Source organism: Homo sapiens, chromosome 1, assembly GCF_000001405.40.
Source record: "Homo sapiens chromosome 1, GRCh38.p14 Primary Assembly".
In the NCBI taxonomy this organism is placed as follows: domain Eukaryota; kingdom Metazoa; phylum Chordata; class Mammalia; order Primates; family Hominidae; genus Homo; species Homo sapiens.
The window spans coordinates 222,804,734-222,817,139 of NC_000001.11; the positions used below are offsets into that span (position 1 = coordinate 222,804,734).

General features: G+C 43.0%; 1 protein-coding gene across 59 annotated transcripts in view, besides 4 other annotated features; it reads left to right on the plus strand.

The window, feature by feature from the left end:
* Positions 420-589: an enhancer, noted in NCBI's record as "experimental_5246 CRE fragment used in MPRA reporter constructs". NCBI's record gives its function as "activates a minimal promoter by MPRAs in K562 erythroleukemia cells, with activity observed for both the introgressed and non-introgressed 1:222978580 variant alleles {active_cell/tissue: K562}" and the evidence as "EXISTENCE:reporter gene assay evidence [ECO:0000049][PMID:34662402]".
* Positions 9,697-9,756: an enhancer, noted in NCBI's record as "active region_2585". NCBI's record gives its function as "activates an Ori minimal core promoter by ATAC-STARR-seq in GM12878 lymphoblastoid cells {active_cell/tissue: GM12878}" and the evidence as "EXISTENCE:reporter gene assay evidence [ECO:0000049][PMID:35858748]".
* Positions 9,997-10,076: a silencer, noted in NCBI's record as "silent region_1838". NCBI's record gives its function as "represses an Ori minimal core promoter by ATAC-STARR-seq in GM12878 lymphoblastoid cells {active_cell/tissue: GM12878}" and the evidence as "EXISTENCE:reporter gene assay evidence [ECO:0000049][PMID:35858748]".
* Positions 10,167-10,266: a silencer, noted in NCBI's record as "silent region_1839". NCBI's record gives its function as "represses an Ori minimal core promoter by ATAC-STARR-seq in GM12878 lymphoblastoid cells {active_cell/tissue: GM12878}" and the evidence as "EXISTENCE:reporter gene assay evidence [ECO:0000049][PMID:35858748]".
* DISP1 (dispatched RND transporter family member 1) overlaps positions 10,306-12,406 on the plus strand; it is a 190,957-nt gene continuing 188,856 nt past the window's right edge. For 35 of the 59 annotated variants that reach the window (NR_165128.1, NR_165131.1, NR_165117.1 and 32 more), the window contains exon 1: positions 10,306-10,345. The gene's annotated coding sequence lies outside the window, so the exon portion shown is untranslated. Of the gene's footprint in view, positions 10,439-10,623; positions 10,723-12,406 lie in introns of those variants that run through there. The other 24 variants (NR_165150.1, NR_165152.1, NR_165154.1 and 21 more) reach the window with 3 other exon arrangements.

The window sequence follows — 12,406 nt, forward strand, 5'->3', positions numbered from 1 at the left end:
TTCTCTCGAATGATTTCATCATAAATCAGAACTTTGATAAAGAGTGGCAATAGAAGAACTTGGCAAATATTTATTGCATGCTCATTCATGCAAGCCCCTATGCAACTCTGCTCTACTTTCAAGTATCATTTACTTCATTTTTATTACAACTAAATTTCCTAGTAGAAATATAATCTAGCATTTAAAATGTGGCATGGTATTTCCTTCATGCACAGGTATTCCCAGAGAGATGTTCTTTTATATTTTCTGACCAAACGAAAATAAGCCACTCAGTGTCTTGCTATGAATCCCTGTCAGAAAGTGGCTCATGTTTGCCAGAGTTTGGGTGGGCAGTGGGCCAATCTCAAATGACTTGAGTAAATCATTTGAACCCAAACACTCTCTTCTTCTTTTAAAATCTCCACAGACTAATGGTGGTCTGCCTAAGGACGTGGTTGTTCCTGCCTGCATTCTCCGTGTGTTCCCTCCTGACTGGCACAGACTGCCTCTGTGTGGTTGATGGGAATGAGGGGTGGAGGTTGCTGTTCACATTAAGGCCCTGACAAGGCAAGCCAAGGCAATTTTCTGAATACTTAATGGGAAAGTTGGGGTTGGGTGTTAAGTGTCCAGGAATTTGTCTGAATTTACTTTGCCAGTGAGCAGATATGACATTTGTTCACTATTTATTCAACAAATCTTTATTGATCTCTATTATATGCTAGGTTTCATGCTAATTGCTTGGAGTCGGAGACAAATAAAACATTGTTTGTGGCTTCAGGAAGTTTACCTCCTAGCTCCCCATATCAATAAAAAGAAACCACATTAGTTATCATAACACAGTGAATTCAGTATTGGGAATTGGCTAAGTGAGTGATGGACAACTGAAAAGGCAAGAGGGGTCACTGAGGTCATAGAGAGACAGAAGCTGCAGGAAGCAGCTCACATCTCTAGGGCTGGAGGAACAAAGGGAAGAGCAGGGGCTGCAGAAGTGGTGCCTGGGACTCTGAGGAGGGGCCACCTTTCAGTAGCAGGTACTCTTGGGGACCTGATGAAGTTGGTTTTGGAAGTAGGGTAAAAGCTGGAAACTGGTCCTGATAGCCATTCCCAAGGAGAAGGGCCATTCCAGGTGATGCCAATAGGAAAAAGGAAGCAGACAGGAAAGAGAATGTCCCTTCTCTGTCTGCTTTCAGTATCCTTCTTTTGCCCCCTATTGGCAAAGTCTACTGGACAGCAACTGGCAAAGAAGAAATGTCCATTGGACTGACTTGTGCAGACAGAGATGCAAGCAGCTCAAGCTTTCTAGCAGGAGGTTCAGTCTAGGCCTAAGCTGGAACTGAAACATGTTTGAACATGTTGCATTCTAGAGAACTGGATATCCAGAATTTGATTTGTGTGTTCTTGCTTCAGGGTCTTTGCCCTGTTCCTTCCTTGTTCCCTCCCCTCCCCTCCAATCCCATCTCCTCCCCTCCCCTCCCTTCCCATCCTGCCCCTTCCCTTCACTTCTCACTGAATCTAGCTCTGTACCCAGGCTGGAGTGCAATGGTGCAATCTCAGCTAACTGCAACCTCCACCTCCCGGGTTCAAGGGATTCTCATGCCTCAGCTTCCTGAGTAGCTGGGATTACAGGTGTGCAAGTCACCACACCCCGCTAATGTTTTGTGTTTTTAGTAGAGACAGGGTTTCACCATGTTGGCCAGGCTGGTCTCGAACTCCTGACCTCAGGTGATCCACCCACCTCGGCCTCCCAAAGTGCTGGGATTACAAGCGTGAGCCACCACGCCTGGTCTCTGGTTATTCTTTCTGCATGGAATACTTTTCCTCAGACATGCTTTTTTTTTCCTTCCTTCCTTCCTTCCTTCTTTCTTTCTTTCTTCCTTGCCTTTCTTTCTTCCTTTCTTCCTTTCCTTTCTTTGGAGATGGAGTCTTGCTCTGTCACCTAGGTTGGAGTGCAGTGGTGCAATCTTGGCTCACTGCAACCTCCGCCTCCCAGGTTCAAGCGATTCTCCTGCCTCAGCCTCCCGAGTAGCTGAGATTACAGGTGCGCACCACCACACCTGGCAAATGTTTGTATTTTTAGTAGAGACTGGGTTTCACCATGCTGGTGAGGCTGGTCTCAAACTCTTGACCTCAAGTGATCTGCTCACCTCGGCCTCCCAAAGTGCTGGGATTACAGGCATGAGCCACCGTGCCCAGTCACTTTTTTTTCACTTTCTTCAAGCCTCTGCTCCAATGTCACTTTTGTTTTTTTTTTTGAGATGGAGTCTTGCTCTGTCGTCCAGGCTGGAGTGCAGTGGCGCGATCTCGGCTCACTGCAAGCTCCAACTCCTGGGTTCACACCATTCTCCTGCCTCAGCCTCCCGAGTAGCTAGGACTACAGGCGCCTGCCACCACGTCTGGCTAATTTTTTTGTATTTTTAGCAGAGACGGGTTTCACCATGTTAGCCAGGATGGTCTCGATCTCCTGACCTCGTGATCCGCCCGCCTCGGCCTCCCAAAGTGCTGGGATTACAGGCTTGAGCCACCGCGCCCGGCTCCAGTGTCACTTCTTGATGACTGCAATTGCTACTCCCACCCCTGCCTTTTTATTTTGCTCTATTTTTTTCCCAAAGTATTTATCATTATGTTAATTAAGCATGCTAAATTATAATAAATAAATATTTATCATCATGCTAGATACATGAATATATTTAGTTATAACATATTTATTTATTGGTTTATTATTTTCTGTCTCCTCCAATTAGAATGTAAACTCTGCAAGAGTAGGTATATTAGCCCTAATTTTCTAGATAGCCAGAACAAACAGGAGAGAGCTATCTAGCTAGATGAGAAGGGATTTATTAGAGGAACTGGCTTACGTGATTATGAAGGCTGAGAAGGCCCATGATAGACTATCTGCCAGCTGGAAACCCAGGGATGCAGGTAGCATGGCTGGGTACAAATCTGAAACCCTCAGAACCAGTGAAGTCAATGGCCTCTCAGTCTGAGGCCAAAGGCCTGAGAACCCAGGGAACGGCTGGTGCAAGTCTCAGCGTCTAAAGGCCAGAGAACCTGGAGTTCTGATGTTCCAGGGCAGGAGAAGAAGGGTATCCCAGCTTCAGGAGAGACAGTGAATGCACCTTTGCTCTGCCTTTTTGCCTCTCTCTAGGCCCTCAGAAGATTGGACGGTGCCTGCCTATGTTGAGGGTGGATCTTCACCACTCAGTATACTAATGGAAACACCCTCACAGACACACCTAAAAGTAATGCTTTACCAGCTATCTAGGTATTTCTTAATCAAGTCGATACCTAAAATTAACCATCACAGCAGAAGTTGTTGTCTTTTGTTCACCAATGTGTCCCCAGCATCTAGAACAGTAGACACTCTCTGAATGTTTGTTAAATGACTAGATGGATGAGCCGATGCTTTGTTGAGGAAGAAGAAGAATGTTCTTTTGGGCAAGAAGCTAATAAAGCTAATAAGGATAATATGGTGTCTGTCTTCGATGTTACTGATCTCTCTCCCATGTAGAGAGGGGCTGCAGGAAGAAACTGAAGGAGGTGCTTCACAAACAGAAGTTGCGGAATTGGGTTTCAGCAGTGACCCTTTGTGTTTAGGTGAAAAAGCATGACCTGGGGTGGAGAGAGGACATTTGCAAGGACCTTCACTTTGAGGCCTCAAGGGTTGGAAGCATAGAGGACATATGTAGACAAGACTTTGAGTCAGGGCAGCAGTGATGTCTCAGAAACTATATGCAGTTTGGCTCTGCTGGAGCGAATGTTGATGTGGGTGTGTAGAGAAAAGTCAGCAATTTCTGTATGTTTATTTGTAAATGTAGTCTCAATGTTCCATTTTCCATAAATGCCACATAAATCCCTCCAACATTATTTGGGATGTACTCCTCCAATACCAAAATTCTTATTTGACTGCCATGAGAAAAAAATTGATAAAAAATAATAAAACATGACCTTAAAAATCCACAGAAAAGCACTTCAAGAGTGATTACATGAAGATATTGGTTGTTGGATAGCATTTGTCCACTCTGAGAAAGCAATGTCCTAGACTACCATACTAAATAACACCCGATCCATAAGTTATTAATCTTATAGCTATATGGAAACCAGATCAGTTTCTCTGATTCAGTCTTACACACTTACTGTTCAATTCTTTTTTTTTTTTTAAGATGGAGTCTCATTCTGTTGCCAGACTGGAGTGCAGTGGCACGATCTTGGCTCACTGCAACCTCCGACTCCCGGGTTCAAGTGATTCTCCTGCCTCAGCCCCCCGAGTAGCTGGGATTAAAGGCACACACCACCACACCCAGCTAATTTTTGTATTTTTAGTAGAGACAGGGTTTCACCAGGTTGGCCAGGATGGTCTCCATCTCCTGATCTTGTGATCTGCCCACTTTAGCCTCCCAAAGTGCTGAGATTACAGGCGTGAGCCACCACACCTGGCCCACTTTCTGTTTAATTCTTAATACTCATCCCAGACCTTTGGTCTTGCTTCTGTTTTTTATTACGAAATAATAAAAGTATACAATGCTAGATAGTTATATAGTATATTGACAGTCCAATGTTCTTTTCACACTTTTGATGGGGTTAGGGGAATTGCATTAATTATATTTAAGGAAACTTTCCTTTAGAAATATTTAAAGAAACTTACTTGTGTGTAAGCAGGGTTTGGCCAGGTTGAGCAAATAAAAATGCAGGACACCCAGTTAAATATAATTTCAGATAAGCAATGAGAAATTTCTTACCATAAGTATATCCTGTGTGATATTGGGGACACACTTATGCTACAAAATAATCTGAAATTCGAATTTAACTGAGTATCGTATATTTTAGTATATTTTATCTTGCAACTCTATGTGCAGGGCATTTTTTCTGGGCAGTGAGTATTTGCAATGCAGAGAAGGTCCCTCTCAGGACAAAAATTCAGAGGAATCAGAAATAACCTGCTGGCCAGGCGTGGTGGCTCAGGCCTATAATCCTGCTATAATGCTAGCACTTTGGGAGGCCGAGGTGGGTGGATCACCTGAGGTCAGGAGTTTGAGACCAGCCTGGCTAACATGGTGAAACCCCGTCTCTACTAAAAATACAAAAATTAGCCAGGCGTGGTGGCGGGCACCTGTAATCCCAGCTACTCGGGAGGCAGAGGCAGGAGAATTGCTTGAACCCCGGGGGTGGAGGTTGCAGTGAGCTGAGATCATGCCACTTCACTCCAGCCTGGGTGACAAAGTGAGACTCCGTCTCAAAAAAAAAAAAAAAAAAAAAGAAAAGAAATAACCTGCTATGGTTCTACCATGTCTACTCAAGGCAACTATAATCAACCTGTGCTTTATTGTTTGATTTTAAAAGTTTTTAAGAGAATGCTAAAAATAAAAGAAGTGACTTCTCACTAACTAGAGAAGTAGAGAAGGTGTAGCCCCCTTTAAGGCATGAATCCATTGTTTCTACAGGAAAAGTTTTGCCTCAATATTCCCAGCCTGTAGTTAATTCTGTTTTAGGAAATATGTTTCTTATCACTGAGACACAGAACTGAAAATTCATTCTGTTACTTACCTACTGGTGAGATTTCCAAGTTAGGATTAGAGCTGCGGGTCTATTTTAGTTACCAACCATGGAGTGAAATTTTTACTGAAAAACAAAGGCTTGTTTTATTAGTCGCTGTGGAATTTAGCAGGTGAAGCTTTCTCTGGCGGCAGTATCTCTGCTTAGTTTTGATTTTCCTGGGAGGAAAATGAAGTGAGGCTTGTGCACCAATCAAACACGTGGAATGCCCATTGCTTTTGCAGAGAAACAAGCAGGATTGGAGTTCAAAAGTATTAACTTGAATAAAAATCCTTAGGAACACATCCACCCAGATTTTTAGTTAATGAGTATCATGCCAAGTCTCCCTGTTATGTTTCTTTTACACATGGAATTTCCATTGGTTTAGCTCTTAAAGAGGTCTGAAGCAGAACGGCATCCCTGTGGAAATCACATGTTTTATTTGGATTCCACAGGAGAAAAGAGCTGAAAAGGGCAAAATATTATTTCTATTAGAAATGTATTTACTTCAAGAAGATATGAATCAGTGCTAAAAATGTTTTTGCAGGATATACAAACATAAAATTACATCAAAACACTGAGGGGAGAAGGAAATGGAGAATTATTGTTTAATGGATACAAAGTATCATTTTTGGGAAGATGAAAAATTTCTGGGCTGGGTGCGGGGGCTCATGCCTGTAATCCCAACAGTTTGGGAGGCTGAGGCAAGAGGATCGCTTGACCCCAGGAGATCGAGACTAGCCTGGGCAACATAAGAAGACCCCCATCTCTTAAAAAAAAATACAAAAATTAGCCAAACATGGTGTTGCATGCCTGTAGTCCCAGCTACTCAGGAGGCTGAGGTCAAAGGACGGCTTGAGCCCAGGAGATAGAGACTGCAGTAAGCCCAGATTGCAGCACTGCACTCCAGCCTGGACAACAGTGCCAAATTTCTGGAGATGATGACGGTGAGTAATATTTGCACATCATTAGGAAGGAAATGGCACTTTAAATTTAGTAATTAATTTTTCACTTTATGTAAGAGATGTTAAGATCTTCATAGAAAATATCTGGCCTTTAATAAGCTGCAGAAGAGTTAGGAATTATTAATTGGAGATCCCTGGCTGACCTTATTTATCACTCATTTCATAATCTGTAATTAATGCAAGTTTGGTGTTGTGATTGCTTCCAAGTGTAGACTAGTTGATTTTGCCACAAATTTCTAAATTACTGGATTTAGTAGTAATTTAGTAAATTGCCACTAAATTACAAAGGGACGAGGATATAGTTTTAGACATAACTGCAAATATATCGATGTTTATGTTGGTGGTAAAAAAAAAAAGTAAGGAAACGACATATACCCATGTATGAACTAAAGAGAATGTAGAATGTGTAAATAAACTTTATGAATAACTAACCTTATTAGCTCTGTTAATTAACCCATCTACCTGTTTGAGCCAGTTGGCGAGTACGGAAAAAAAAAGTAGGAAAATTTTCCTTAAAATTTTCTCTCCTGATTCAGATTAACATATTCACTATCTACTGTCACCCACAAATGGCTTTTGAACAGCTCTCACAGTTCCGCAGTCAGGCTGATGCCATTATACAGATGTGGGTAAACTCCAAAGATCAGGAGCTGAGTGGGAGGAGACTGAATAGTGCACTTTCAAGGATTTCACAGTAGTTTCCTCAGTTGTTGAGAGACGAGATTGTTAGCTAATCCTGTCTCTGGGACTACTGAACTATTTAGCCTTAGGAAAACCACTATGCCTAGCTGGAAGGGCATTAGTTCCTTCCTCTGTTGACATGCATGGTTTCCAAAGTCTCCTTCCACTTTACACTCTGATTGCATGATTCTCCCCACCTGTGTGATTTTAATAGTTAAAGTCATCTAACCCATGGTAATTGTGACAGTTTTCCTGAATGGACCAGGCAGCCATGGAGGTGTGCAAATCCTTCTCCTGTTCTTGAGTCTGAGGAGAGAAAGTGGCTCCAGAACTCTGGTGCATGCTATAGAATGAGTGGGCAACCTTGTGTCTTGTGAATTGATGTCTTGGGGTTTGATTGCTAGGAGGGGAAACCTACTAAAATGATTCTTAACCAAATGGGGGGTTTACTGGAAGGACACGGAATTTTCGTAGAACTTAAGGGCAGAACATTTAGCTGGATCTCATAAGGGACTGGGGAATCAGAAACTGAAAAGAAGGGAACTAAGATGTTCACCTCTCAGATAAGTCTTCTCTTTTTCCATCTTTCTCTCCTTATCCTTATTTCCTTCTCATCATTCCTGTTGCTTTCCCCCTTTTCCCATCAGTTTTGAACATCTTACTCATGCCTAACCTAATTCTAGGTTTGGACATTTCTAATTTAGCATGCAAGAGTGGAGCCCTATATGTGCATTGCAAAATCCATGCATGTGAGACTTTCTAGGCCTGTTTGAGTTCAGTGTTCATATTTGGTCTGGTTTGCTGTGGCAATGAGTATGGTTCGTTCAGCTCAGTGCCCATTCAGAAGAGACTCTTGGAGCACATTATCTTAAACAAGGATTGGAAATGAATATGCTCCTTAAGATTATTTTGGTTGCAAGCAGCAGCAATCTTCTTTGACTAGCCAAAAAAAAAAAAGTTTTGGAATTATACAGGGATATCTCCTATAACCAAAGGAAACAGGGCAGGTCCTGGATCTTTGGCAAAGGGTGTTAATAGATTTTTTCTTTAGGGAACTGCCATTTGTGACTCAGTTCTACTGAGTAACTATATTCTCTCTGTGTTTCTCTATGCCTCATTTAAGATTTCTGGGGCAAAGAGTCTAAATGGTCTGGTTTAGGATATGCCCACCTCTGAATTAATCTGTTATGTAGACAAGGGACATGGTAGCGCAACCAACTTGTCTCAGTTTTCGCAAAACTATCCCAGTTTAAGCACCGAAAGTCCAGCATCCTGGTATCCCCCTGTCTTTAGCAAACCAGAGTAGCTGGTCACACTAGGACATGGTCGCTTGTGCATATGTGGCCCATAAAAGGACTGCCTCTATGTATTTCAGCCATTCCTACAAAAAAAGGAATTGTGAGAAGCTATAAGGAAACATTTCACAGAGTGTCTATTACATTCTACTTCTTGGCACCCAGCGTGGGCACACACACACACACACACACACACACACACACCCCCCACATCACACCACATACACACTCTCTTCTTTCCATCCTTTCAAAAATACACCTTGCCGCTATGTGAATCAGTTATTTCAAGTATCACCACAAATGGACTACTAACCTTCCCAATGGGAGAAAACCCAAACGCGTGACCTTTTACTTCACTTAGAGTTGATGTTATGCCCTCTAAGTACAGACTTTCTACACGATATCCATTCCTCATTTTCTTCTACTGTAATCCTATCTCCATATATTGCAATGTATGGCCTTTTGCTGGCAAAAGGAGAAAAAAAGAAAAATGTATGTATTATACCATTCCTTTTTAAAAAGGCAAAGAAAGGGCTTGGTGTGCAAGAGAGTATTTATTAAACACTGGTAGCAAAGAAAACAAACAAAAAATGCAACAGTCCTCATTACTGTAGCTGGTGTTGAAGCTTCTTTCTTCTGGGCCCATTCCATAGTTCCCTGTGACTTCAGTTAGCATCTCAGTTGGTTGGGGTGATTTGCTCAATGCAGCAACCTGAGGGGTATGATCCCTTGTGGTCCTGCCTTTATAGGGTTGTGGTAGCCGTCTATTGCCTTTACATCTGGGTATGGCAGTTCAAGAAAGCACCCTCAAGGATAAAACATGCTATTCATGATGTATTATTTTTCTTTGATGACTAGGACAATCCCCCTAGTCAACCCCATGACTCACTGTTTTGTCTATTCCCTTAGATGACCCCACGGATTCCGTTGCACGGAGTCTCTGAAGTCCAAAATTTTTAAGCATAGGGCACAACGTTCTTCATGATTTGGCCTTGTCTCTTCTCATTATGCTTGCTCTTGCATCTGCCATCTGACACTTTGCTTAACTCCTGGCCAGCTACCGGTACAAGCCAAGCTCTCACTCCATAACGTCCTTCTTCTCTGCATGCCCTTCTCCACTGTGCCTGTCCTTTAACTCTTATTCATCATTTATTTCAGTCTCAATTGAAGAGTCATTATTTCTAGAAAGCCTTCTCCGCCCAGCTCTCTACATTGCACCGTTCCCTACAGCACCACCAGAGTGCCTCTAACACTTGATGGTTTCATTGCTTATATATTTTTGTTTCTGTGCATAAGCCTCCCGAGGGAGCCGCCGCTGTTCGATTTATTCTATAGCTAGTTCCTCGCCCTGAGTGTAAGCCTCACGAGAGTGGGGCTGTCCTCTGTTCGCTCTATCCCCAGCCCCTACAGCAGTGCCTGGTTGTTCACAGGCCTATATAGCAGGTGATAATAATCTGAATAATGAAAGAAGAAACACTGTCTTGTGGCGTGATTTACTTCTGTTTTTACTTATGTCAACTTTTAACTAGATTGTGAGGACAGAGGTCAGTGTCTGAGTCATCTTGTGCCTCACTGGGCTTGGGCAGAATAGACGCTTGGTCAAGCATTTGCACACTGGTCGATGGATACACTAGAAAGAGCAGGAGCGCGAGAGGGAATTTTTTTGGCGCCTGCCTCGCCCTTTCAAGCCAAGCCCCTCTGCCCTCTGCCCCTTGCCAGCCGCCCGTCGCCCGCCGCCGGCGATCCCTCTCCCGGGGAGCGGTAGTCAAGCGAGGCCAGCGGGCCGGGAGCGGGCCGGGAGCGGGCGAGGGGCGGGACTTCCGGTCCCGCTCGCGACGCGGACCGCGCCAGGCGGAAGCCCGGCTCCGGGCCAGCATCCGAGAGCCCGGACTGGAGGTGAGTTCGCAGCCGGAACGTTGCAGGCACTTGTTTCCTCAGTGGATGCCTTTCGGCGCGCCGCCGCCCGGCGCCGCGGGACTGGGAGACCGGGTAGGGACGGGAGAGTCGGCATCTCCCGCGCGTGTGGAGGGAAATCCGGGACCCCAGGCTTGAGAGAAGGGCCAGGACTGAGAACGGGGAACCAGGAGAGCCCTAAGGGCAGCCTTTAGGGACTGAGGAGGGAGGCACCGGGGACCCTGAGGCCAAAGAGGCCCTGAGACTGGAGGTTGCGGATGACACGGGGCAGAGTTGCATCTCGGAGGAAAGTAGTCATTCGTGGGGGCGTGTCCCGGGTCCTGGCGGATTGACTGAGAGGATGGCAGGAGATGGCAAAGGTTGGCTTCCAGGGAGAGGTTACAGAGGAGGGAGTCAGTCCTTCTCTGAGGGTCGTAGGTGAGAAGGACGTCTTGACCTAACGAACCAGAAAGATGACCAGCCACCTATTGGATGCTGAACTCCTATTGCTTCATTTGCAATTCATGCAGTTTGTTTTTTGTTTTTAGAAATATATCCCGCTCCGCGCGTGTGGATTTCGGGAAAATATTGTATATTCCTAGGGACCGCTCGAATTCTTGCTTCACCCAGATTCTGCGTGTCTTTGTCAAACTGATAGTAGTTGAGAGTTCTCTTCACCCAAGGAAGACAACCAAAGTTTTCCTTTTGGACTCTTCTCTACCCTGCAGAGTTTAGCTTGTCTTATTTCCCTTGTCATGGGATGAACTAAATGCGTTCAGAATTATGGTGATAATCACATGGAAAGCCAGTGCTGTCAATGTTTGCAGTTTCAACTCATTGTTTTTCTGTCCAACTTTCTAACACATTTTTTCTAAAAGCTATTTTGTTGGGTTTAGTCTTTTAGTTTAACCAATAAAGGCAATTTTACATCAGGGTGCAGCAAATTACTAGCAGTTCTTAAGATTTTACTGTTCCTTTTTATTTCTGCTGTAAGGAAATATATATATATATATATATATATATATATAAATATTTGCCATTGTCAGTGTTTTTTAAAAATATTGATAACCCAAGATCTGTTGTTACACGCACATTAGCACATTTAGTTTTCCCCAGTGGCCAGTGTTTGGTATGTGGGCTCATTATTATTACCAAAGGTAATTATTGATTTAGTTATTATTTACCTTGCATTTATGTTTTATTGGATGTGATTAATATGTGCTTCCTAATCTACATAATATAGTGTTTCACTCAGTGTAATTACAAAGATTCTCCTAGCTTTTAAGTAGGTAGTAAGTGAATTGGATTTTTGCCACAAAGTGAGCAAGGTAGCTAGGAAGAATCATAACACTGTCACTGATGGAGGGTGAGATCTGATGATTGCTTTGCTTGTTTCAGGTGTTTCACATTTCAAATGTTAGAAGTTTTTGTTTTAAAAATTACTGTATTAGTACAGGTAACTTTTAGATCTGATTTGGTGGTCTGACTTGAACTAATTCAGGAAAACTAGAACATTTTATATTTATTGGTACTGCGATATCTTGCTAGCTTATAAATTCTTGATGGCCTTGAATATCTGTGCTTGAGTGAAATACACAGTTATAACGTCCTTATGTTTAGGAGGACTGCTGATATTTACAAGTGTAAAGCAAGGCCTAAACATAAACAGTGCCTTAACATGTAAATGAGCATATTGAATAAGTTTTCAAATTACAAAATGAAGAGATAACACTGATCTCTAAAGTAATTGAATTAACTGCCATGTTAATTTCTGTATATGTCTCAATTTAATCTTATTTGTTTAAGTAGACAATATTGTTTATCTGATAAGACTTGATTTTATTTTTCTTCCGCCTTTTCCCATGGTTTTTGAGAAATAAAGCACTTGAGAAAGCATGCAAGTCTTTAGACATTAGTTCATGGTTGGAGGAAGTGCTCGTTGTTGAAACACAAGAGCACTTGCCCTCTTGGGCAAGTTGGGCTAGCTATATATATGAATGGTATGTTGAGGTTGGATTGCCCTGTATTCCGGAAAATCTTTGGAATTGTATTCTTTCTTCTAAT